A 25,821-nucleotide genomic window follows, 5' to 3' on the forward strand; every position below is an offset into this window, starting at 1 on the left:
TACATGAGTACCACCACACTGGAAAAGAAATGGCATTATCTAAAAAAGTTGAAGACATACATATTCTATGATCTAGCAATTCCAGTCCTGGGCATGTGTACAAAAGAAATATGTACACATAGGTAAACATGTACAAAAATGTTCTTAGTAATACTCTTCATAAAAATAAAAAACTGGAAACAATCCAAATGACTACCAACATTTGGTAGTTGGTAGTCATGTTGGTAGTCATCTGGTAGAAGAGATCACCAACAGTGATTTATTTACACAAAGAAATACCAAGGCCAGGCACAGTGGCTCATGCCTGTAATCCTAGCATTTTGGGAGGCCAAGGAGGGCAGATCACCTGAGGTCAGGAGTTCGAGACCAGCCTGGCCAACATTGAGAAACCCTGTCTCTACTAAAAATACAAAATTAGCCGGGCGTGGTGGCGCATGCCTGTAATCCCAGCTACTCGGGAGGATGAGGCAGAAGAATCACTTGAACCCGGGAGGCGGAGGTTGCAGTGAGCTGAGATCGCACCATTGCACTCCAGCCTGGGCAACAAGAGTGAAACTCCGTCTCAAAAAAGAAAAGAAAAAGAAATACCATACAGTAATGAAAATGAACTAGACCTACACACAACAATGTAGATGCTCTTATAAACACATTGCTGAGCTAAGAAACACACACAAAATTTGCATACAATGATTCCATTTACAATGAAGTCTCAAAAACAGATAATTTTAAAATTAGATTAAGAATAAATATATAGGTAGTAAAACACCAGATAAAACAAGGAAATGGGCCAGGCGCAGTGGCTCACGCCTGTAATCCCAGCACTTTGGGGGCCGAGGCGGGTGGATCACAAGGTCAAGAGTTTGAGACCAGCCTGGCCAACATGGTGAAACCCCATCTCTACTAAAAATACAAAAATTAGCCGGGCATGGTGACGTGCACCTGTAATCCCACCTACTTGGGAGGCTGAGGCAGGAGAATCACTTGAACCCAGGAGGCAGAGGTTGCAGTGAGCTGAGATCATGCCACTGCATTCCAGCCTGGGCGACACAGTGAGACTCTGTCTCAAAAAAACAAACAAAAAAACAAAACAAAAAAAACAACAACAAGGAAATGACTACCACAAACATTAGGAAGTCCCTGGGAGAAAAGAGATCTGATTGAGAAAAAAGGGAGGAGAATGTACATGGTACTGGCAACTTTCTTTTGTTTTTTTGTTTTGTTTTGTTTTGAGACAGAGTTTTGCTCTGTCACCCAGGCTGGAGTGCAGTGGCACGATCCTGGCTCACTGCAACCTCCGCTTCCCGGGTTCAAGTGATTCTCATACCTCAGCCTCCTGAGTAGCTGGGATTACAAGCATGCGCCACCACACCCAGCTAATTTTTTTGTATTTTTAGTAGAGATAGGGTTTCGCCATCTTGGCCAGGCTGGTCTTGAACTCCTTACCTCAGGTGATCCACCCGCCTCAGCCTCCCAAAGTGCTGAGATTACAGGCGTGAGCCACCACATCCTGCCGGTACTGGCAATTTTCTATTTTGACTTGAAGAGTTACTGCAAGGGTGTTGACTTTGATTACTCGTTATACTGGATTTCTGTGGTTTTACACAAATGTCTTATACCATTTTTGTAAGATTTATTCATATTTACTGCATATACTTTGTTGCTATTATAAAATGCTTTTTAAATTGCATTTTCTGTTTGTTGCCAGCTATAGAAACCGTACTGGGCTGGGTGCAGTGGCTCACACCTGTAATCCCAGCACTTTGGGAGGCCAAGGAGGGTGGATCACCTGAGGTCAGGAGTTCGGGACCAGCCTGGCCAACATGGTGAAACTCTAGCTCTACTAAAAATACAAAAAATTAGCTGGGCGTGGTAGTGGGTGCCTGTAATCCCAGCTACTCGGGAGGCTGAGGCAGGAGAATCACTTGAACCTGGGAGGCAGAGGTTGCAGTGAGCTGAGGTCGCGCCATTGCACTCCAGTCTGTGCAACAAGAGTGAAACTCCATCTCAAAGAAAAAAAGAAACAGAACTGAATGTTATGCCTTGATGCAACAACCCACTATACTCTCTCATTGCTGCTTCTGACTTATCAGTAGATTGAGTTTTTTTGTAACAGTCATATCATCTGCAAATAATGGCAACTTTGTTTGATCCTTTATAATCTTTATATCTTTCCTTTGGTTTTGTCTTATTTACAATGACTAGAATCTAGTTCAGTGATGAATTGTATTATTTTCAATAAAAGTATTTTTATTTTTTATTTTTTTAGAGACAGGATCTTGTTCTATCACCCTGGCTGGAGTGTAGTGGCACAATCATAGCTCACTTCAGTGTTGAACTCCTGGGCTCAAGTGATCCTCCCACTTCAGCCTCCAGAGTAGCTGAGTCTACAGGTATGTGCGACCATGTCCCACTAATTTTTTTTTCTTTGTAGAGATGGGGTCTTGCTATGTTGCCTAGGCTGGTCTCACACTGCTGGCTTCAAGTGATCCTCCCATCTTAGCATCCCAAAGCACTGGGATTACAGGCATAGCCACTGCTCCCAGCCCTATAAAAGTAGTTTTAAAGTGGGGAACAAAAGAGACATCGTACAGGAGGACCCAGGTGCTGATGGCTCATTTCAAGTTTACTCCTTCATATGTTTATCATCCTTTCCCTTCTCTCAGAAAATGAAGCTCTCCATCCTGGATGAGGGAATAGCTCTTGAAAACTGGCTATTCTAACAATTTAAACTTCTTAACTATTAAAATCAAGTTCAGCTCATCCACACTTCCAAATTAGTCTATCTGCATTACAAGTCTATAATTTTCAAATCAAGTATACAATAATTAAAAGAATAGAAACAACGCCATCTAAAACGTGAAGTGTGTTCAAACTAGAGCCTAATTATTTAACATCTATATAGCACTGAGGAACTGAAAAGCCCTTAGGGGAAAAAAAAATCAAATTTTAATACACTCCCAACACAACAAATGAAGCAGTGAAGGAAAATAAATCTCTTGGTTAGATCAGGCAGTGATGTAATGAGGAAAGTACCAGAATTCTAACACATCCCCAGAGTTATGAAGACCCAAAATATAGCCTTTGATAAATACATCCCCAAGCCCATTTATCTATCCACCACAAGCAACTGTCTCTCTGAAAGAGTCCCAAAATATTTCCTCAGCCCAACAAATTGACAATTTCCCTTCTGTACTTGTGTGTCTCAGAGGGTAAGTCTAGCGGTTGACTTTCTTCATCTTTCTGGCTTATATAATGATACTGATTTATACTAAGTAACAATTTGTCCCTCAGGAAAATGAAATATAACAAGAATGTGGCAGCCAGTTCTCCAGAGTCCCACCCAGATCAATGAAGAGTATAGCACAGTCCCGACTAGTCAAAGGACTATCAGAGGTCATGTAAGTGCTCTCATCCCTTCTTGGTACAGACAAGAGTTTCCAGTGTCAGACAGTTCTTCTATAGGGACTTCTCCAGGATGCACATTTCCCTAGTAAGTATCCCCAAACACGTTTTTTTGTTTTTTTCTCCCTTTCTGAATGACTTTTTTTGTTGTTGTTTTTTTCTCCCTAGCATGGCTCTAATGCCATGAATCAGACTTCCTCTGGACTTACCATGGGACTACTGTATTTCTTGTTTATCTAAAATTAGATACTTAATGTATCTTTCAGAAAATCAGATAAAATGCCCTTTGGATGGACCCCTGTCTAAATGGGCACAGTAAGAAATGTTATATTCAACTTGTAAAAGATTTGGTTTTATTAAAATTCATATTTGAACTCCCCAATAAACCAATAATTTATATTCTATATTTTGTTACAAGTTATAATGGTTCCAGCTGGGCGTGATGGCTCACGCCTGTAATCCCAGCACTTTGGGAGGCCGAGGCGGGCGTCACCTGAAGTCAGTGAGACCCTGTCTCTACTAAAAATACAAAAATTAGCTAGGGCGTGGTGGCAGGTGCCTGTAATCCCAGCTACTCGGGAGGTTGAGGAGAAGAATTGCTTGAACCAGGGAGGCAGAGGTTGCGGTGAGCCAAGACCACGCCATTGCACTCCAGCCTGGGCAACAAGAGTGAAAATCCGTCTCAAAAAAAAAAAAGAAAAAAAAAAATCTGCCTATCATGGGCTTAAAACTCCAAAGTGAGTTGGGTGTGGTGGCATGAGCCTGTAATCCCAGCCTACTCTTGAGCCCAGGAGTTCAAGACTAGCCTGGGCAACAGAGCAAGATTTCATCTCCAAAAAAAAAAAAAAAAAAAAAAAAAAAAAAAAAAAAAACACCCTCCATAGTAATACTGGTCAAAAAAAATTTTGAGTCAGTTATTGCAAATAACTAATATAACTGGGAAAATCTAAAGTTTTTGGTTACAGTTCCTATTTCAGGATGTAAAAGCAACTATTATAAATTAAACATATAACGATCACATCCAAACATCCCTGTAACAAACCAAGAATTCAGACTTTATGAGACCAAAAATGACTGTGGAAGCTTACTCAGAAATCAGACAGACTCATCCATATAATCCATTATATATCTGGACTAAGAAACTGTAGGGAAACTACATGTTGGAGAAACAGAGAAAGCAACAGAATTGGCCCTTACACATCATAGCTCTTTCTCTTTAGCAACATACCTAAAATCTCTAAGTCAGAAATCTCTCACTTTAGGCCATTTTCTTTGCTCTAAAGAAATCTCTGGTTTCATTTTATTCAGAAATGAAAAACTTGGAAACAGGTGGGGAAGTAAAAAAAAAAACAGAAATGAAAAACTTAAAACTAAACAATACATGGGGTAGAGAACTGGTATAAAAGAATCTTTTAAGTGTGGTAATGGGAAACTAGGGAATAGAAAAATTTTAGTACTGGCATTACTCTCTTTTCCTTTTTCTTTTTTTTTTTTTTTTTTGAGCCAGGGTCTCACTCTGTTGCCCAGGCTGGAGTGCAGTGGTATGATCAGAACTGCAGCTTTTAACTTCTAAGCTCAAGCAATCCTCCCACCTTGACCTCCCAAAGGCTGGGATTACAGGCATGTGCCACCTCACCCGTTGTACTGGCATTTATCAATAGGAAGAGTTTATTGCTAAATTTAGCTTTAACAAACAAAATTAATTACGTTAAAAACACCTAGTTGCATCTTCTTTCAAAATGAAAATTTAGAATTAGCTTTTCAAATAAACACTCAAAGTAGAAGCAGGCTGGGCACAATGGCTCACGCCTGTAATCCCAGTGCTTTGGGAGGCCGAGGCAGGCAGATCACCTGAAGTCAGGAGTTTGAGACCAGCCTGGCCAACATGGCGAAACCCCGTCTCTACTAAAAATACAAAAATTAACCGAGCATGGTGGCACACGCCTATAATCCCAGCTACTCGGGAGGCTGAGACAGGAGAATTGCTGGAACCCAGGAGGCGGAGGCTGCAGTGAGCTGAGGTCGCACCAGTGCACTCCAGACTGGGTGACAGAGTGAGACTTCATCCCAAAAAAAAAAAAAAAAAAAAAAAAAAGGAGAAGCATACTTGCATAGTATTCTATCACATCAAACAGAGCTGCATAAGCAAAAAAGGTTCAGTAAAAGAGACTACCCAAGCCAAGTACTAATTCTTTGAAGCAAGCAAACAAATCATATCCATTTTTGCACTAAACCACAGGTAGATAATTCAGTAACAAATTCTTTGGCATCATCCTGATTAACCAAACCACCTTGATATTGACCATTTGGCCACCCAATGGTAGTGAGAAGAAACTAATTGGAAGTACTTACCTTGAGAGCGCAAAAGATGCAGGAATCTCCCATGCACTTGTGAGTTGTAAGCTGCCTAAAGCTACGTCGGAAGATATCCAAGTGCCACAAAACCTGATGAGAAAAGGAAAATATTTCATTACTCTATAAAAAGCTACCATTTAATTTTAAAGTAAAGAGTTCAAACAAACATAGGTAATGACTGCAGAAGATGTCTTTATTCCCAAAAGAAAACTTCATTCTAGTATATTAAAACAAATGTGAAAAAAGGTGAGGTATCTAACAAGAAAAATAAATGGTCATATTCTGGGAAAGATATTAATTTGAACATAAAGTGAAGGTAATACAGTTAAAATATGACATGATATACATCAAATGTGATCCGGAAGAGGAAATTTACGGGTTAAAGCTGAAGAATAAGGATTTATATTCATTATCCACACAAGAAAAGCAAAAATATTTTAAAACTTATATTAGAAATGTGAACTGTAGAAATGTGAGCTGTAGTGTGGAATTTTATCTTTGTTAGGACTCTCAATTTTCAGACATTTCTAAGAGAAGTGTGATCTCCTTAAGTCAATAGGGTAAAAAATAATGATTTTTATACTTTTGTTGAAATGGGAAAAAAATATGATATTAACAGTGGTAAATCATGTTATAGTATATACCCTTGATGCAATGTGTTGAGAATGGCACTATACTTTTGTGGTCTTCCTCCCTAAAACCTATGACCCTAGTCTAATCATGAGAAAAGCATTAGACAAATTCCAATAGGGGAAGGGGGATATCCAAAAAAATACTTGATCAGTACTCCTCAAAACTGTCAAAGTTTATCAAAAACATAAACATTCTGAGAAAATGTCACAGCTAACAGGAGCCTAAGAAGACATGACAAGTAAATCTAAATGTGGTATCCTGGATGAAATCTTGGGCCAGGAAAGGACACCAGGTAAAAACTAAGGAAATCTGAATAAATTGCAATTTTTAGTTAAAAAAGAAATGATGTAGTATATAGCATAATGCCTTAGGAAGCTCCCCCTTGCTAGGAAAACATTTAATGTCATAATACATGAAAAAGCATAATTTCTGGAGCCCCAGATGACAGCACACCTCCGGAGCTTCTTCTTACTTATATGTCTCAAGATACACACTCTAAAAGTTCTTTGAAACTGGCTATGCTCCCAAGTAAATAACACCTTTTTATAACAAATGTAATAGGTTCAACTCATCTGTGGTAAACACAGCTTTGAAACCAAAAGTTAGAATATTAGCTCATAACAACAATTATTTTCAACATGTAACATGATTATTATAGGGACTCCAAAACCATCAATGCCTCAATCATTAAGTATGGATACAGAAATATGTATGTGTATATATATTATGTATTGTATATGGCACTGGAAATTAGAATGGGAAATCATAAATAGTATTGTTTCAACTGACAATATAAATAGACCACATAGAAAAAAACAATTACAAAAATGGGACTATGGCCAAGACACGGGTAAACAAACACATTTATATCAATGCCTTATTTTGCCTGCTTCTAAATCACAAAAGTATTATCAGGATACAAAGTAACTAAAAAAACTAATATGTGGCCAGGTGTGGTGGCTTATGCCTATAATCCCAGCACTTTGGGAGGACAACGCAGGATGATCATTTGAGCCCAGGAGTTCAAGACCAGCCTAAGCAATTATAGTGAGACCCTCTCTCCACAAACAATTAAAAAAAAAAATTAGCTGCGTGTGGTAGCATGTGTCTGTTGTCCTAGCTACCTAGGGAGGCTGAGGTGGGAGGACCGCTTGAGCCCAGGACGTTAAGGCTGCAGTGAGCTATGATTACACCAGTGTACTCTAGCCTTGGCAACAGAGTGAGACCTCTGGCTCCAAAAAAAAGAGAAAGAAATAAAGAAAGAAAACTAATATGCATCATCCAGGACAAAAACCTAACCAACTCCACCTAACTACATGAAATTTGGGTAATAATTAGGGAAAGCACTTAAATTTTTTCTATAGGCTTGCCAGCACATAATTTTTTTTTATTGTTTTCGAATAAAAACTTAAAAACTGAGAAAGAGGCTGGGCACAGTGGCTCACGCCTGTAAGCCCAGCACTTTGGGAGGCCGAGGTGGGCAGATTACCTGAGGTGAGGGGTTCAAGACCAGCCCAGCCAACATGGCGAAACCCCGTCTCTACTAAAAGTACAAAAATTAGCCCAGCGTGGTGGTGCACAGCCTGTAATCCCAGCTACTCAGGAGGCTAAGGCAGGAGAATCGCTTGAACCCAAGAGGCGGAGGTGGCAGTGAGCTGAGATCCCACCACTGCACTCCAGCCTGGGCGACAGAGTGAGACTCTGTCTGAAAAATAAATAAATAAAAACTGAGAAAGAGCATGAAACTTTTATTACCTAGATAAGCTTGGCAACATTCTTGTATTATGAATGAGGAAACTCAGACACTATTACCTGTACAAAGTCACAAGACTAGTCTACAGAATGGCTAAAACTACAACCCAGGTCTCCTCCTAATGCCCAGGACCATTGTTCTTTATACTAAATATCTTGTCTTCTCTCATAGCAACCCATTTTCTCATAACATCTGAGGAGTGAAGCTAATATTTTACCCAAGTATAATTATCTTGGGTGGCAAATTTCATTTACTTTTACACTGAAGAGCAGAAAAGAAGAGAAAGTAATTACTTGAAAGTTAGGCCAAGGGGGATGAACTTAACATGCTATGGGCGTGACTGGGCAGAGCAGACAGACAGAAAGCTTTGGGATTCTAAGATCACTCAAGTGGCAAGCAACAGTGAAAGGGAAAATGTAGGGTAGATAATCAACTTAAGGGAATTCACTTTCCCCTAGCTCTGTTCAAGTGTATCTGACTAGACACCAGTTATGAGCCAAAACAGGAGAGCTCAAAGAGAGGAGATAAGTTGGACAAAGACTAGACTCCATTCAATATGTGGGCCAAAAGCCTGAATATTAAGAGACGAGATTAACATACCTGAAAGTCTTTGACTTGTGGAAAGAATTTTGCTTCTATACTAGAGAAAAGCAACTAGGATAACACACCTTACTCCCGAAAGGAGAAACAGAAAACAGGCCAGACACCTGTAATCCCAGCACCTTGGGAGGCTGAGGCAGGCGGATCACTTGAGGCTAGGAGTTCAAGACCAGCCTGCCCAACATAGTAAAACCCTGTCTCCACTAAAAATACAAAAATTAGCCGGGTGTGGTGATGCACACCTATAATTCCACCTACTTGGGTGGCTGAGGCATGAGAATTGCTTGAACCCAAGAGGCAGAGGTTGCAGTGAGCCGAGATCGCTCATGGTCCCAGCTACTCAGGAGACTGAGGCAGTAGGATCACCTGAGCCCTGGAGGTCAAGGCTGCAGGAGCTGTGATTGGGCCACTATACTCCAGCCTGGGCAATAGAGTGAGACTGTCCAAAAAAAAAAAAAAGAAAGAAAAGAAAAGAAAAGAAAAATAGGAACCTGTAGAGACTGTTCAGGAAAAAAAGTTGATAAATAGAAAGATAGGCCAGGCACGGTGGTTCATGCCTGTAATCCCAGCACTTTGGGAGGCCAAGGCAGGTGGATCACAAGGTCAGGAGTTCGAGACCAGCCTGGCCAATATGGTGAAACCCCGTCTCTACTAAAAACACACAAATTAGCTGGGCATGGTGGTGGGCGCCTGTAGTCCCAGCTACTCGGGAGGCTGAGGCAAGAGAATCACTTGAACCTGGGAGGCGGAGGTTGCAGTGAGCCGAGATTGCGCCACTGCACTCCAGCCTGGGCGACAGAGCAAGACTCTGTCTGAAAGATCACCTGGTCCATTTACCTCCCTTTAGGCATGTAAATAATAGTAGTTACAGTTATTATTATTTCTCTTATCATTATTAATCCCTCTTTTTTACAAATGAGGTAATTGAGATTCAAAGAGATAAAGTGACTTGCCAAAGATCACACAGATAAATGTAAAAATTATCTCAGGTTACTAACCTCAAACAGAGACTATCAAACATTTTATTTAAAAAGAGTTATCAGAAATACAGCATCAGCAATTAAAAGTCAAAGTTCACCAAAAATAAAGAAATGACCCTTACCTGCAGGGCACTGTTGAGGAAGCAGCTGTTTTGCCCTGGCTCATTGCTGAGGCCTTTGCTGGGGGCTATGGAGGTTGAGCTTCGAGGTGCAAACATCCCTTGTACACTACCACGACCCCCTGAAAAATAATTTCTCTTCCAAGACATTATTGTTCACATTTAGCCTGAAAAAAAAATGGAGAAGGATTTGTGCCTTTTTGGCAGGAATTTCTGTCTGCTAAAGTTCTAAAAGGAAAGGGAATCCAGAATTTAGTGAATTTATTTTGGAAGATTTTGACTTTACCACCTTCCAAATATCATCTGTGTAGTCAAGGGACTCAGGTATCCTCCTAGATCAAGATGACAGAGCCCTCCCTCACTTGTTCCAAACAATCTCCAAAATGTAACATGGCACAGGACTAATGCAAACAGAGAAATCCTTAAGTATTGCTTCCTTCTATTTTTCTTGAACAGCCTCCATAAAGTCCTGGTGAAGTGGATGTAATTCTCAACTCCAACAGCATCCAGGATCAGGGTAAGATGTGTTCTTCAGGCTTGTTGATAATGCTTCTTATGGACTGAAGATTTTTCCAACTGGAAGGAGAGGCAGACAGAGAAGCAAGAATCCAACATGATCCTCCTCACCCTCTATTGCCTTGTCTCATCATCCTCTGAAGCAAAAACTCAAATTCTGAGCAACTGCAAAAGGTTCCACAAAGCCAAGAAGAAGCCTGTTTGAATCATCTGAGGTTTTTGTTGATGTTCTTGCTGCTTCTTTTTAATGTGCCCCAAACTTCTATTGTCCCATCCAGATCTTCAGCAAGTCTCTCCTCTTTCTTCTGGGACTAGAATAGCCAGCTGTGTCAGAGAGCTTTAACAGAAATAAAAAAAATCAAAAGCTTGCGTCACTTAATGACTCTACTGGCTTTGGACTGTTCTGCCAAGATCAACGTTGCCTCACTTCTCACTATAAACTTGAAACCTTGGCAAACAATGCCAAAAAAAAAGAAAAAAAGAAAAAAAAAAAAAAGAGAGAGACACCCAAACTAAAGAGAAGGAAAAAAAGGTATGAACAGCTTTACTTTCAGGGGAAAATTCTCTGAAATTTTCTTGAAGCAGAAGAAAGTTGATCTGGATAGAAATAAAAACAAAATACAAACTTTCCAGTATCAGGCTAACACAAAACAAATCACCAAGTAAGCACACACAAACTAGGAACTGAAAGTTCCTTTTGGACATTGTGAATAAAGCACTTTTTAAAAGGTGTTTTCCATGAATATGCTTATGAAAACGTGCTTAAAGGTGGGAAGGCCATGTTAGCAGTCTAAGATCTGTTCTGAGTAAAGATGTTCCATCCAGAGAAACACTGATGGCGAGTAAACCACATGTCCTTAACATGCAGTCCAAGAGAACTAAATCTTCTCCTGCCCTGTTTGTTTGTTTGTTTCATTTTTGCCAGAGGATCAGAGAGATAATTTGGGTTACAAATCATTTAATCTCCAGATTATATCCAAGGGCTCACAATCAGAGGCAATCCATTGACCAACTTTAGTTTTCAACTAATTAAAATGCCAGTGAGGCAACAGAGAGTAATACCAAAGCAAGTATGTTCCCTGGAAGGAAATCACCACATCTCCAGCTTTAAGTTTTCCTATAAGGCTGCCATGTCCATCTACATAAGGAAAAATTTTTAAATGTTAAGTGTTAAATTTGCCAACATCAACAATTCCTCATTCTCCCTTCCTTCTCACCATCATATGCACCATCTAAAAACACAAAAATGCTTTAACATCTTAATCATTCTCTGGGAGATCACCTAGCATTGTCTACAGCATGTCCAATGGAAAAACTGAGGTACAGGAATATTAAATGGTTGCATAAGACTGTTCTTTCCCTTCTGTAAATTCCCAGACTATTTATAATCTACATGTCCCAATTAAAGTATTTGATTATACAGCCTACTGTCACATTATTCTCTATTTTTATTACTCTCTGTTTTATATCGTATCCGTCATAATATGACTACATGAAATGAAATAGTAGCTACAGTCAGGTATGTGCTAAACACGATACTTATGTCCTTTATTTAATATTCACAACAGTCCTATCAGATAGCTATTAATAGTTCCATTTTACAGAAAAGTAAAGAGAGGCTTAAAGACATTAACTTGCCCAATTCAACACTGGTAAGTGGCAGATCTAGAAATGTTTGACTATTAAACAATGACTTAATTATATATTTTATTATTCTATTCCAAAAGCTCCTATTACAGTGCCAGTCATAAGAAGGCAGTCAATAAATACTGCCTGATGATTAACATGACACTAGAAAAGAACCCATATCTCCCACACAGACTATAAGACCCTCACCTTTCTACACACACCCTCATACACACCCCACTCAAGGCCACTAAGCAACTTCCAACAAGCCATGCAGCATTCCTTCAGCTCAACTGCTGCAAAGGAATGACAAGTACCAAGCCTCCACTTTGCTCACAGCCAAAAGGACTTGGCAGGCAGGTGGGGTTTCCAATATCCACATTAGGAGCTAACTGAAACTCAGCCTGCCCTATGACACACACTCCTGAGTACAGGGAGCAAAAGGAGAAAAACGCAGTAGCAGAGAAAAGATTCTCAGGCTCTGAATGGCAGTATTATGTAGGGTAAAGCAGTAAGTTCTCAGACCTGTTCTAGATGTGTCACCAACTAGAAGTGAGAGCATAAAGGACCAGACAAGAGAGGCAGTAACAAGTGGTCCAGAGAAATACTAACACCAAAAACATTTCACTTAAATTGTAGATATAGCATTAAACAATGTAATCCTTCTCCAATACCATTTACTGAAGATATGTGAGGAGGGGAATTATAGTTTTATCTGTATGGCTCTCACTACCTAGTTTTGTTTTTTGGGTTTTGTTTTGTTTTGTTTTGTTTTGTTTCTGAGGCAGAATCTCACTGTCACCCAGGCTGGAGTGCAGTCGCGCAATATTGGCTCACTGCAGCCTCCGCCTCTTAGGTTCAAGCAATCCTCCTGCCTCAGCCTCCCGAGTAGCTGGGATTACAGGCATGTGCCACTATGCCTGGCTAATTTTTGTATTTTTAGTAGAGACGGGATTTCACCAGGGGCTGGTCTCAAACCCCTGACTTCAGGTGATCCACCTGCCTTGACTTCCCAAATGCTGGGATTACAGGCATGAGCCACCGCACCCAGCCAGTCAATTGATTTTTGATGAAAGTACCAAGGCCATTTAATTGAGAAATGACAGTCTTTTCAACAAATGATGTTGGAACAATTGGGACACCCATATGCAAAAAACTGAACATTGAGTCATACCTTACATCTTATACAAAAATAATTCAATACATCACAGTCCTAAACAAAAAACCTAAAACTATAAATTCTAGGAGAAGACAGGAGAAAATTTTATAACCTTTGGTTGGGCAAAGATTCCTTTTTTTTTTTTTTTTTTGAGACAGTCTCCCTCTGTCGCCCAGGTTGGAGTGTAGTGGCGTGGTCTCAGCTCACTGTAACCTCCACCTCCCCGGTTCAAGTGATTCTCCTTCCTCAGCCCCATCACCCTCACCCCCACCCCCTTCCCCCAGTAGCTGGCATTACAGGCATGCACCACCATGTATTTTTAGTACAGATGGGGTTTCACCATGTTGGCCAGGCTGGACTTGAACTCCTGACCTCAAATGATCCACCATCCTCGGCCTCCCACAGCGCTGGGATTACAGGTGTGAGCCACTGCACCCGGACAAAGATTCCTTAGATACAACAAAAGCATAATGTATAAAAGGAAAAAATTATAGAATTGAACTTCATCATAAGAATGTCTGCTCTTTGGAAGACACTGTTAAGAGAATGAAAAGATTAGTCAAAGATTAAAAGAAAATATTTGCAAGTCACATAATAGATAAATGACTTAGATCTAAAATATATAGAATCCTCAAAACTTAATAAGAAAAACTATCCAATTTTGGCCAGGCGCAGTGGCTCATGCCTGTAATCCCAGCACTTTTGGAAGCTGAAGCAGGTGGATCACTTGAGGTCAGGAGTTCAAAACCAACCTGGCCAACATGGTGAAACCCCATCTCTATTAAAATTACAAAAAAATTAGCTGGGTGTGGTGGCAGACATCTGTAATCTCAGCTACTTGGGAGGCTGAGGCAGGAGAATCGCTTGAACCCGGGAGGTGGAGGTTGCAGTAAGCTGGGATTGCACCACTGCACTCCAGCCTGGATGACACGGCAAGACTCCATCTCAAAAAAACAACAACAACAACAACAAAAAAAAACTACCCAATTTTGTTTAATGGGCAAAAGATTTGAACATTTCACCAAACAAGATATACAAATGGTAAATAAGCACATGGAAAGATGTTCAACATTATTAGCCATGAGGGAAATGGAAATTAAAACTACACTATACACCTATTAGAATAGTTAAAAACAAAAACAAAAAAACTTTTTAAACCTGACAATAACAAGTGCCGATGAGGAATCAGAGCAACTGGAACTCTCCTACATTGTTTATGGAAATGCAAAACAGGCCAGGTGCAGTAGTTCACGCCTGTAATCCCAGCACTTTGGGAGGCTGAGGCGGGTGGATCACCTTGGATCAGGAGTTCAAGACCAGCCTGGCCAACATGGTGAAACCCTGTCTCTACTAAAAATACAAAAATTAGCCAATGGCAGGCACCTATAATCCCAGCTCCTAGGGGGCATTGAGGCAGGAGAATTGCTTGAAACCAGGAGGTGGACATTGCAGTGAGCCGAGATCAAGCCACTGCACTCCAACCTAGGCAACAGAGAAAGACCCCATTTCAAAAAAAAAAAAAAAAAGAAAGAAAAAGAAAAAGAAATGCAAAATGACACACTTGGCAGTTACTTCTAAACTTAAATATATAGTCATGAGCTGTATAACAATGTTTCAGTCAAGAAGAGACCGCATATACAATGGTAGTCCCATAAAATTATGGGATTATGGGACTTACCTTATTTTTACTGTAACTTTTCTATGTTTAGATATGTTTAGGTGCACATCTATTACTATTGTGTTACAATTGCTTATTTTATTTATTTATTTATTTATTTTTGAGATGGAGTTTCGCTCTTCTTGCCCAGGCTGGAGCGCAATGGTGTGATCTTGGCTCACTGCAACCTCTGCCTCCCGGGCTCAAGCGATTTTCCTGCCTCAGCCTCCCGAGTAGCTGGGATTACAGGCACGCACCATCACGCTCAGCTATTTTTTGTATTTTTGTATTTAGTAGAGATGGTGTTTCACCATGTTGACCATGCTGGTCTCCAACTCCTGACTTCAGGTGATCCTCCCGCCTCAGCCTCCCAAAGTGCTGGGATTACAGGTGTGAGCCACCGTGCCTGGCATCTATTATATTTAGTACAGTAACATCCTATACAGGTTTGTAGCATAGCAGCAGTAGGCTATATCGTATAGTCTAGGTGTGTAGTAGGCTATACCATCTAGGTTTATGCAAATACACTTAAATGATATTCACACAATGACAAAACCACCTAACACCACATTTCTCAGAACACATCCCTGTTGTTAAGCAAAACATGGCTGCACTTTTGCCATACTTTTACCTACCAATCCTACTCCTAGGTATTTTACCATAAAGAAATAAAAAATTGGGCTGGGCATGGTAGCTCATGCCTAAAATCCCAGAATGGGAGGACAAGGCTGGTGGATCACTTGAGGCCTGGAGTTCGAGGTGAGCGTGGGCAACATGGTAAACTTCTAGGAAAGTAAAAGCCAAAATTGGGATGGAAGCATGTCATCTTATTACGTATTTCCTTGTGTAACACAGTTACTAAGTTATATGTCCCACTGTTCCCAATCTGAAAACACTAGCCTCCTGTGGGTAAGCCAAAAACCTTTCCATGTATGAAATGATGGAAAACAGTGGGTCTCAACCTTTTTGCAGTGCCTCACATCCAGAGGCAGATTTACCAAGCCACTGAAACTTAAGCTTCAGGACTCTTTCTCTTGCACAGATTCTCAAGGCCCAATATCTCATTTTCTGTTTCAAAAAATATTTTCCTTAAAGGAGGCCCTCTGAATTGCATAAGCTTCAAGTGTCAGAGAATCTAAGTCTGCCCCATCCACATTACATAAATGGGGCTTTTATAGTATATGTCACTTGAGAAAATACATAATTCAAAAAGCTACTTTGAATTCAGTAATACTAATAAATTTGTATTTTATTAATCAAAGAAACATCTAATGTTATTCACTGTATAAAATTTGTTTGAACTAAATAGATCTAAATATAATATTTGGTCCACATTTGGATTTTGGATTCTTGTGCTCACAGCAAGTAACTCCACAGTCAACAGGGCTAAATTGAAAAGATCATTACAGATTAAGGTTGCCAGAATTAAAGACATACCTCTAGAAGCTGGTGACCTTTAGAAAAAAACACTTTCTCTGTATTAGTGAAATACAGAGAATGATTCTTTCACAAGTATACACAGTACAGCTTAATGTGCTACCATTTTTCTCAGGCCAAAGTAATAAACCAGGCTCCAGCTGCAGCCACCCTAATTATCCCCCACTGTATTCTTCACCAACAAAGTCAGCTTCTCTCAGCCTGTTTCGGAAAAAACCCAAAGCAGTCATTCAAAGGAACTGGCTTGTGCATAAAGGGAGATGAGGCCTGGAAGGACACTGGGCCAGGAGGAGCCTGGCGCCCTAAGAGACAGAGGGGTAAATGAGGCCCAGAGAGCTACAGGTTATTAGCATAAGAGATTCATTATGAGCAGAGCTAGAATGGAACTGAAATCAATGAAGACTAGATAGAATTTGTTCGTGCAAAGCCTGGGAACCCTTTGATAAAACCAGGTGTAAAGTGTGGGAAGTTTCTAAGGAGAAGGACTTTTTTTTTTTTTTGAGACAGAGTCTCGCTCTGTCACCCAGGCTGGAGTGCAGTGATGCGATCTTGGCTCACTGCAACAGCCACCTCCACCTCCCGGGTTCAAGCAATTCTCCTACCTCAGCCTCCCGAGTAGCTGGGATTACAGGCATGCGCCACCATGCCTGGCTATTTTTGTACTTTTAGTAGAGACAGAGTTTCGCCATGTTGGCCAGGCTGGTCTTGAACTCCTGGCCTCAAGTGATCCACCCACCTCGGCCTCCCAAAGTTGTGAACCATGCGGTGGCACAGGCGTGAACCACTGCGCCCATCCAAGGAGATGGACTCTTTAAGCTAATTGACTTCACAGTAACTAAAGTTCAATAAAGTCTTTAAGGAGACACTATTAATTGCATGTGTAGAGAACTCCATGACATTAATAAAAATGACAGTATCAAAGTATCTCCACTAAGGCATTTATTAACTACAAAGGAAAATATAGTAGTTTCACAATGGAGAAACCCAGCAGAAACTACCTTAACCAAGTGATCAAGGTCAAAATAACCAGTAATAATACATATTGACATCATGAATGCCATGATATGATGCACTGAAAAGGACACAATTATTTCTGTGGTATTCTTGCCTAAACCATAATCTCAGTCCAATCATCAGAAAAATATCAGACAAATCCAAATTAAGGAATATTTGACAAATAGCCCTCAAACTGATATTGATCAATACTCTACAAAAATGTCAAGGTTATAAAAGACAAAGAAAGACTAAGAAACTTTTACAGAATACAGAAGAGTAAGGAAGAAAAACACCTAAAATGCAATGTGAGATTCCAGATAGGATCCTGGAACAGAAAAAGAACAATGCAGCTTGTGCAAGATGGCGAAACCCTGTCTCTACAAAACAAAGAAAATTTTTTTTTGAAACAAAGTTTCTCACTTGTCACCCAGGCTGGAGTAAAATGGCGCGATCTTGGCTTACTGCAACCTCAGTCACCTGGGTTCAAGCAATCCTCCTGCCTCAGCCTCTGGAGTAGCTGGGATTACAGGCGCCTGCCACCACGCCCAGCTAATTTTTGTATTTTCAGTAAAGATGGGGTTTCACTATGTTGGCCAGGCTGGTCTCAAACTGCTGACCTCGGGTGATCCGCCCGCCTCAGCCTCCCAAAGTGCTGGGATTACAGGCGTGAGCCACTGCACCTGGCCAAAAAAAATTTTTTTTAATTAGCCAGGCTAATGCTTGCCTGTAGTCCCAGCTACTCAGAAGGGTGAGGCAGGAGGACTTTTTGAGCCTGGAAATTCAAGCCTGTAGTGAGCTATGACTGTGCCACTGCACTCCAGCCAGGGTGACAAAGCAAGACCCTGTCTTTAAAAATAAAAAAAAAATAAATTACAATTTAAAAAAACTGAAAATAAAAAAGGAAAAATAATAATGGTAGGCAAACTGGTGAAATTCAGGAAAGCTCTTTAGTTAATAGTGTTATACCAATACTATTAATTCCTGGTTCTGATAAATGTATTATGGTTATATAAGATGGTATCATTAGAGGTAACTATTTTTCCAACTTTTCTATAAATTCAAAATAAAAAACATTTTAAATTATGCAAATAATTCACTGAAGAAGATGGAACTTTGGGCCCAAAAGGGATTGAGGCATTTGGGAAATAAATATTTATATGTCTAAAGGTAGATGGACCAAGATTGATTTATAGGAAAAGAAGAGATGTGAACGGGCACAGTGGCTCACGCCTGTAATGCCAACACTTTGGGAGGCCGAGGCGGACAGATCACGAGGTCAGGAGCTCGAGACCAGTCTGGCCAACATAGTGAAACCCCATCTGTACTAAAAATACAAAAATTAGCCGGGCGTGGTGGCATGTGCCTGTAATCCCAGCTACTCGGGAGGCTGAGGCAGGAGAATTGCTTGAACCAGGGAGTCGGAGGTTGCAGTGAGCCAAGATCACGCCACTGCACTCCAGCCTGGCAATGGAGTGAGACTTTGTCTCAAAAAAAAAAGAAGAGACGTTGACGTAGTTTGTGATCCTACAATCCACTGAGGGTTATATGTGAAACCTCTTGGTTTACTGTTTAATATCACAGTATGGCAATTATTGGGTGTTTTATTAGTTCAGAAACCTGTTTCTCAGAGCTAAATGTGCGCAGAATGAATTAACAGAGAAGTTTAAAACTCAGCAACATCGGGGTAAGTAAATGTAAAATGATAGCGGTCTTGTTAGGATGATGAAATTATGGATTTTTTTCCTTTTTTCTATTTTCTAAATTAACTATAATTTATAAATAATCTATAAACTATCATTTCCTTAAAATAGGGGTTTAAACACATTTTCCCTAAAAATAGAGTGAAAGGACTTGAGACCAGAGATAACCGACCATTGAGACCCGTAATATCCTAACAATATGAAAGCTGGTTAATAATTGGTAACTATTTCCTATTTAGAAACAGAGGGCCTGGTGTGGATCTCTATTTCCTTTCATTCTATTTTCACTGCTGCTGCTACTAAGGTTCAGATCCTCACCACATCTGGACCACTGCACCACATTACTGACTCATTGCCAGTCCTCTAATCCTACATGTCACTACCACCTGACTCCTAAAACACATTCCACACCATGTCACTCCTTTTCAAAATATTTAATGGCTCCTAGAGGGAGATATTCTTTTGGCTGGAAAAGAACAATGGTATTTTTCTAATTCACAGGAAAGAAAATTAATAGATGGATTTTTCATAAGTTTCTCTACCATAATTTTTTCTTACCTACTTAGTCTACTGCTAGCACTACAGAAACTTGAACAAATAGTAGCAAAATTAAGAGGGAAAAAAATCAAAGCAGTCAATTGGAACTATTTTAACACCTTTTTTCCTAACTGACAGTGTTAAGCCATGTTTGCACTGCTATAAAGAAATACCCAAGGCTGGGTAATTTATAAAGAAAAGAAGTTAATCAGCTAATGGTTCTGCACTGTGTATGGGAAGCATGGCACCAGCATCTGCTCAGCTTCTGGCAAGGCCTCAGGGAGCTTACGATCATGACAGACCGCAAAGGGAAGCCCAGGTGTCACATGGCGAGAGAGACAAGGGAGAGGTCTCAGGCTCTCTTAAACAACCAGATCTTGTGTGAATTAACTGAGTGAGAACTCACTCATCACTGAGCTATTCATGAGGGATCCACCCCCATGATCTAATACCTTCCACTAGGCCCCAACATTGGGGATCACATTTCAGCATTAGATTTGAGGGAACAAACATCCAAATCATATCACTGAATCATGTTCATGATTGTGATTTTTATGCTGCATATTTTTGATATTCACATATTCTGCCAATAAAATTAATTCCTGGCCAGGCACAGTGGCTCACACCTGTAATCCCAGCATTTTAGGAGGCTGAGGTGGGCAGATCACGAGGTCAAGAGATCAAGATCATCCTGGCCAACATGGTGAAACCCCGTCTCTACTAAAAATACAAAAATTAGCTGGGCGTGGTGGCGCGTGCCTGTAGTCCCAGGAGGCTGAGGCAGGAGAATCTTGAACCCGGGAGGCAGAGGTTGCAGTGAGCCAAGATCGCACCACTGCACTCTAGCCTGGTGACAGAGCAAGACTCCAGCTCAAAGAAAAAAAAAATTAATTCCTAATTATAAGATAGAATTAAATATGTCTGGCACCAGCGTAAAGTTTGAGAATCACCGGACCTTACCACCATTTCCAGCTTCATCTACTCATTCACTCACTGATCAAACATTTCATTGATCATCCATTATGTGCCTCTCACTCATCCTCCACTCCAAGTACACTAGACTCCTTTCTTTATAACAAATATACCCTGTCCTTTACTTTCTCATTGTCTTGACTCTAATATTGCCTCTCTCTGGAATGCCTTTCCTCTCCATTTATTCTTGCTGAAAATCTTAACTATCCTACAAGGAAAAGCCTTCCCAGATCATTCTCTCACCCTCTCACCTTTCCAATCTCCCAATTTATTTCATCCTCCTCTGTGCTCTCAGTGCATGGTGGGGTTTGGATTACAATACTCACATTCTCCCTCATGTTACAGTTATTTGGGTACGTGGACTACATTTTGTCTTAAGGGCATCTTTCTAATTCCACACAGAGGTTGAATATAATAGGCATTGAATCACTGACAGTTTCATTGAAAGAGAAAACTTTTTGTTTGAAGGTACCTAGCCTAGAACAACCAATTCTAACATCCTGATAAATTCTGACTCTCCTTAAAGAAAAGAACTCACAAAATGGCCTTATCTAGCTTGAGATACTGCTGACAACTTTTTCTAATAGTGACTATATAAATGGAAACAATATTTGCTTCTGATTCAAGCTTGAAAATAGAAAGAGATAAGCATCTACAACCATAAAAAGGGCCAAGCTATTTGTTGATTTATGAGCTGGTTATCTTAAACTCTCCAGCGAATAGTTACTCAACTCAAACAATTTCCTGAGGGCTGGACTTTGGCAGCTTCAAACTATTACATCATGTACAACAGAAGAATTGTATGCTGATAAAGGACAAAAAGTCTTATTTTTCCTGCACAAGAACTTAGATAACTGTCATGTATAACAAATTTGTCTAAAATTTGTTAAAAAGTAGTTGGAAAGAAAACAAAAAGGCACGTTTCACTTTGTTATAATTGACAAATTATAAGAACTAAGAAATGACAGCTGCAGGCTACTTAGCCCTTCCTTATAAAGATCTAAAGTTGTATAATTTACTGACTTCTAAAGGAAGCAGCATGGTAGTAGAAAGAACATAGTGGTTAAAAGTATACCCTCTGCAGGCCGGGTGCAGTGGCTCACTCCTGTAATCCCAGCACTTTGGGAGGCTGAGGCAAGTAGATCACAAGGTCAGGAGATCGAGACCATCCTGGCTAACACGGTGAAACCCCGTCTCTACTAAAAAACACAAAAAAATTAGCCGGGTGTGGTGGCGAGCACCTGTGGTCCCAGCTACTCGGGAGGATGAGGCAGGAGAATGGCGTGAACCTGGGAGGCGGAGCTTGCAGTGAGCCGAGACTGCGCCACTGCACTCCAGCCTGGGCAACAGAGCGAGACTCCATCTCAAAAAAAACAAAAAGTGCACCCTCTGCAGGGCCAACAATATTGCAGAACCTCGGGAGGTAACATGCTTTTAGTGGAGATCCAAAGGGTCCCATTCCTAGAGAACATTATGTGAATTATACAACTTGGGGACACAGAGTTAGTGGAATAGAACAGGTCTCAGCTCCACCATCTAACAGCTGTGGCATATTGACCAAGTTATTGAACTAACTCTTAGGTACTTCATCAGAAAAAATGTGACTAATAATAACATCTATCTCATAGGATTGTTATAAGAATTAAATAAAATAATGTAGATACGTATAATTAGCCCAGTGCCTAATATGTGGTAAGTGTGGAATAAATGTTTTGATGATGATTATGGTGAGGATAATGATGATGAAGAATAAGATGAATCTACATTCCAATCCTAGCTCCATCACATTCAGGCCATTTACTACCTATAATAAATGTGATCTGCTGAAAGGATGCAACAAAATAATGTACGCAGAATACTTAGGGCCAGGTACAAAACAGGAATTCCATAAAGAGTAACTGTGATTATGATGACTGACCATCCTCTATATGCATTATCTCTCCCCCATCTCTCTTTCTCTTACAGGCAAACACACACACACATATAACTACTATAAAAATTTCAGGAGATTAAACTATAATTGATAGCATAAATCCCAAGGCCATATAAAAAATGGGGAAAAGTGTATCCTTTTTTTTTTCTTAAATGTATCCTTTGTTGTTGTTGTTTTTTGTTTTTGTTTTTGTTTTTTGAGACGGAGTCTCGCAGTCACCCAGGCTGGAGTACAGTGGCGTGATCTTGGCTCACCGCAACCTCCGCCTCGCAGACTCAAGCAATTCTCCTGTCTCAGCCTCCATCCATAGTGGCTGGGATTACAGGTGTGTGCCACCACGCCCAGCTAATTTTTGTATTTTTAGTAAAGATGGGGTTTCACCATGTTGGCCAGGCTGGTCTCAAACTCCTGACCTCAAGCGATCCGCCCACCTCAGCCTCCCAAAGTGCTGCGATTACAGGCGTGAGCCACCGCGCCCAGCCTGGGAAAAATGTATTCTAAAACCAGTGCATTCTCAATACAATTCACCCAGACTATTGCAGAAACTTTCTAACTATTCTTTCCTCTCTAATCCCATCTATACAATATTGCAAAAGCAAACTGATGAATCACAATTAGCTTAGAAAACTTCAGTGACAAAATACAGCCAAAACTCTGGCTTTGAATGGCCTTCCACAATCTTATCCCCTGCACATTTCCAACCTCATCTACCCTTAAAACATACAAAAAGATTTGTTCTGTGCACATGCCCAGTTACTTTGTTTTTTGTATTTCTCAATCAACGAATGCTCCTCCCATCTTCCCAGTCCTACCTAATACTAGCAATCTTTTCCACTGAGCAAACCTATTTGAAGAAGTCATACCACTGGCTACTTACAGTGATAGGAACTACTAATAGTCATACATCAGCAGGAAGGAGCAGTCATTTACATTAATTCATTTCCCAAATGATTGTCTTTTTAAATACCTCTCCACACCAACTGGGACTTCTCTCTCCCTCCCAGGAACATCATGAATCAATATTTAACCAGTATATCAATACTTTATTAGAATACAAGGTAGAAAGTTACATTGCCTTACACTCAACAAATGCTCATTCCTTGTTAAACAAATAAATGAAGAACTAAGTTTCATGAGACCAATCAAACTCACATTTTTCCGTTTAGAGATAACTCAGTTACAGGCATAACCAAACAGCTCTTTAGCTTGTCCCTGAATCTCCTGCCAAAATCATATCGCATCTAAATCATACCTTGCGCTTCCAAAAGGTCTACAGAAGAAAGATACTCTATTTTATGGTCAGTAGGACAAACGAAATGTTCTTTCTAAACCCTACTGCCAATAGTAGCAAACTAGTAATAGCAGTGGTTAAAGGAACAAAAATCAATAGCAATTTATTAGGCCCCTGGATAGCAAAACAATGAGTTCCAGAAAGTTACCCTATATAATAACCTTCTGATTTAATCATTTAGAACCAGAGATTTTTATCCCGAATTTTATGAATCACTAAGACTTTTTAAACACTTGATTCCATCAATGCATTATTTATTAATCATTATAAATATACCCGTACTCAAATTATTTCAGTACAAACAATAATGAAAGTATGACAGTGCTATCAACAAGAGGAAAAAAGGAGGGGAAGCAAACTGACAGCACTGGCTTGACTCATTTCTGTTGGGAGAACACTGGTACTGAATGGCACAAGCAACTCCAGTGTGAGAGAGCAAGCACATGACTGACTGGGAGGGCGACAGAGGATACCAAAGAAAGGAGAATATCTATAAAGAAGATTTCCTCTGTAGGGGCAGGAGGTGAAGGGATGAGAAGGAATGAAATCTACTCTAACAGCCTTTACAATACTCAAATGAAAACATGCTACCAGACTTCACACTTTGAGCCAGTTCACATCCTAGCTCTACCACTTACAATTGAGTGACCTTCAGCAGATTACTTATCCTCTTTCATCAGGTGTAAAATTATAATAATGGTAGCCCACTTAGTGAATACAAACTACATGTTTGGCACTGCGCTAGGCACTGGACACATGGTATATCCTCTAATTCTCACAATTAACCTGCCAAATAGTGATTATTTTTCTCACTTTGCAGGAAAGAAAACCCATGTTCTTTCTACCTATGTATAGCCGCTTTGTAGAGGGACAATACTACTACCTGGCCAGGTTGTACTGGGAATTAGAAGTAAATGCAAAGCACTTAGCAAGGACCCAGCACTTACCTCATATTAGGAGCTCAAGAAATCATTACTGTACGAATACAACCATCATTTGAATAAGTGCCTCAACTGAACAGCAATGAAATCCCAGAAACAAGTTTCCTCTCACATCATCTACCATAAAGATGACTTCTAACTAGCAGTAGTTTGGGAGAATCCAAAGCTCATCACTTATAACTGCTTGAAATACCAAAGTATCAACCATCCAGTATCCAAAAAAAAATTTTTTTTTAATACACACACAAATATTCTTAGAAGCTCAAAACACAAAACGCAAGGAAATAGCCCATTATGAAAGTGATATTTGACTCAATCTAAATATCAAATATTAAATATTTTACTTTCAAAAGGATCATAGGCCTCATGCCTCAAGGAAGCAGGTGCTAATGAACAAATTTATCTAACTTCCCAAAAATCATTCCCAGAAGCATCTGTTAACCTGAAGTACTTGGCAAACCATCTCTTAGAATTGACAACATATTGCCAAAATCTTAGTGGATTTTGCCAACACTATTCTGCTGATAGGAAAAAAGAATCATTCAGCTACTTTCCAATTTAGCCACAAAATAGGCTCTTTTTTCTTCATTACTACTTTAACCAGTATGTTAATACTGAAAATAGGTATAAAGAAATCACAAATAACCTTCTTCTGTTTGAAGGAAATTTAAAATACTAAATCCACAATTCTTGCCTTTAATTCTAAGGAACTCAAGAAAATCTATGAATTTTTTTTTTTTGGAAAAAATATGAAATCTCCAAAATCTAATAATTGTAACAGAGAGGAGGGGGAAAGAGCACAAACAACAGCTTGAAAGATGCCTCTTGAAAGTTGAGAGTCCTAAAATCTCAATTTCAAAGTTTAATCTACTGCTATTAAAAGAAATAGCTTATTAATCAGTGCTTGGGAATATTTTTTTTAAAAGAAAGAAAACTTCACAAAAACTAACCGGTTCCTGAATCTTCTATCTATCTGTTTTTACCACAACAACTACAATACTTACCAGACAGCACAGTCAACCTCCAGCAAAAGACCTCTAATCACGAGGGTATCTGTGGGGCAAGTGATACAAGAATGGGGAGGGATATGGGAATAGCTAGAGCTGTGGGGAGGGAAGGCTAGGAGGGAGGAGACGACTGTAGCTAGCAACAATGAGAAACTGTGAATCTAAACCACAAGGACTTCCCGCAGAACAGGATATCAGAGAGAAGGC

At 40.0% G+C, this 25,821-nt stretch overlaps 1 protein-coding gene across 26 annotated transcripts in view; it reads right to left on the reverse strand.

Annotated features, from left to right (window-relative positions):
• USP54 (ubiquitin specific peptidase 54) overlaps nucleotides 1-25,821 on the reverse strand; it is a 128,444-nt gene that overhangs the window by 68,129 nt on the left and 34,494 nt on the right. For 6 of the 26 annotated variants that reach the window (NR_165443.1, NR_135249.2, NR_165442.1 and 3 more), the window contains exons 1-4: nucleotides 25,612-25,676; nucleotides 10,132-10,695; nucleotides 9,846-10,009; nucleotides 5,755-5,847 (exon numbers count right to left, since the gene is read on the reverse strand). Coding sequence is in view for 21 of the 26 variants with exons in the window: in NM_001391955.1 (NP_001378884.1) it covers nucleotides 5,755-5,847; nucleotides 9,846-9,992 (240 nt within the window). In the remaining 5 variants the exon portion in view is untranslated. Of the gene's footprint in view, nucleotides 1-5,754; nucleotides 5,848-9,845; nucleotides 10,696-25,611; nucleotides 25,677-25,821 lie in introns of those variants that run through there. The other 20 variants (NM_001391951.1, NM_001391942.1, NM_001391947.1 and 17 more) reach the window with 6 other exon arrangements.

Source organism: Homo sapiens, chromosome 10 (assembly GCF_000001405.40).
Source record: "Homo sapiens chromosome 10, GRCh38.p14 Primary Assembly".
NCBI classification, from domain to species: Eukaryota; Metazoa; Chordata; class Mammalia; order Primates; family Hominidae; genus Homo; species Homo sapiens.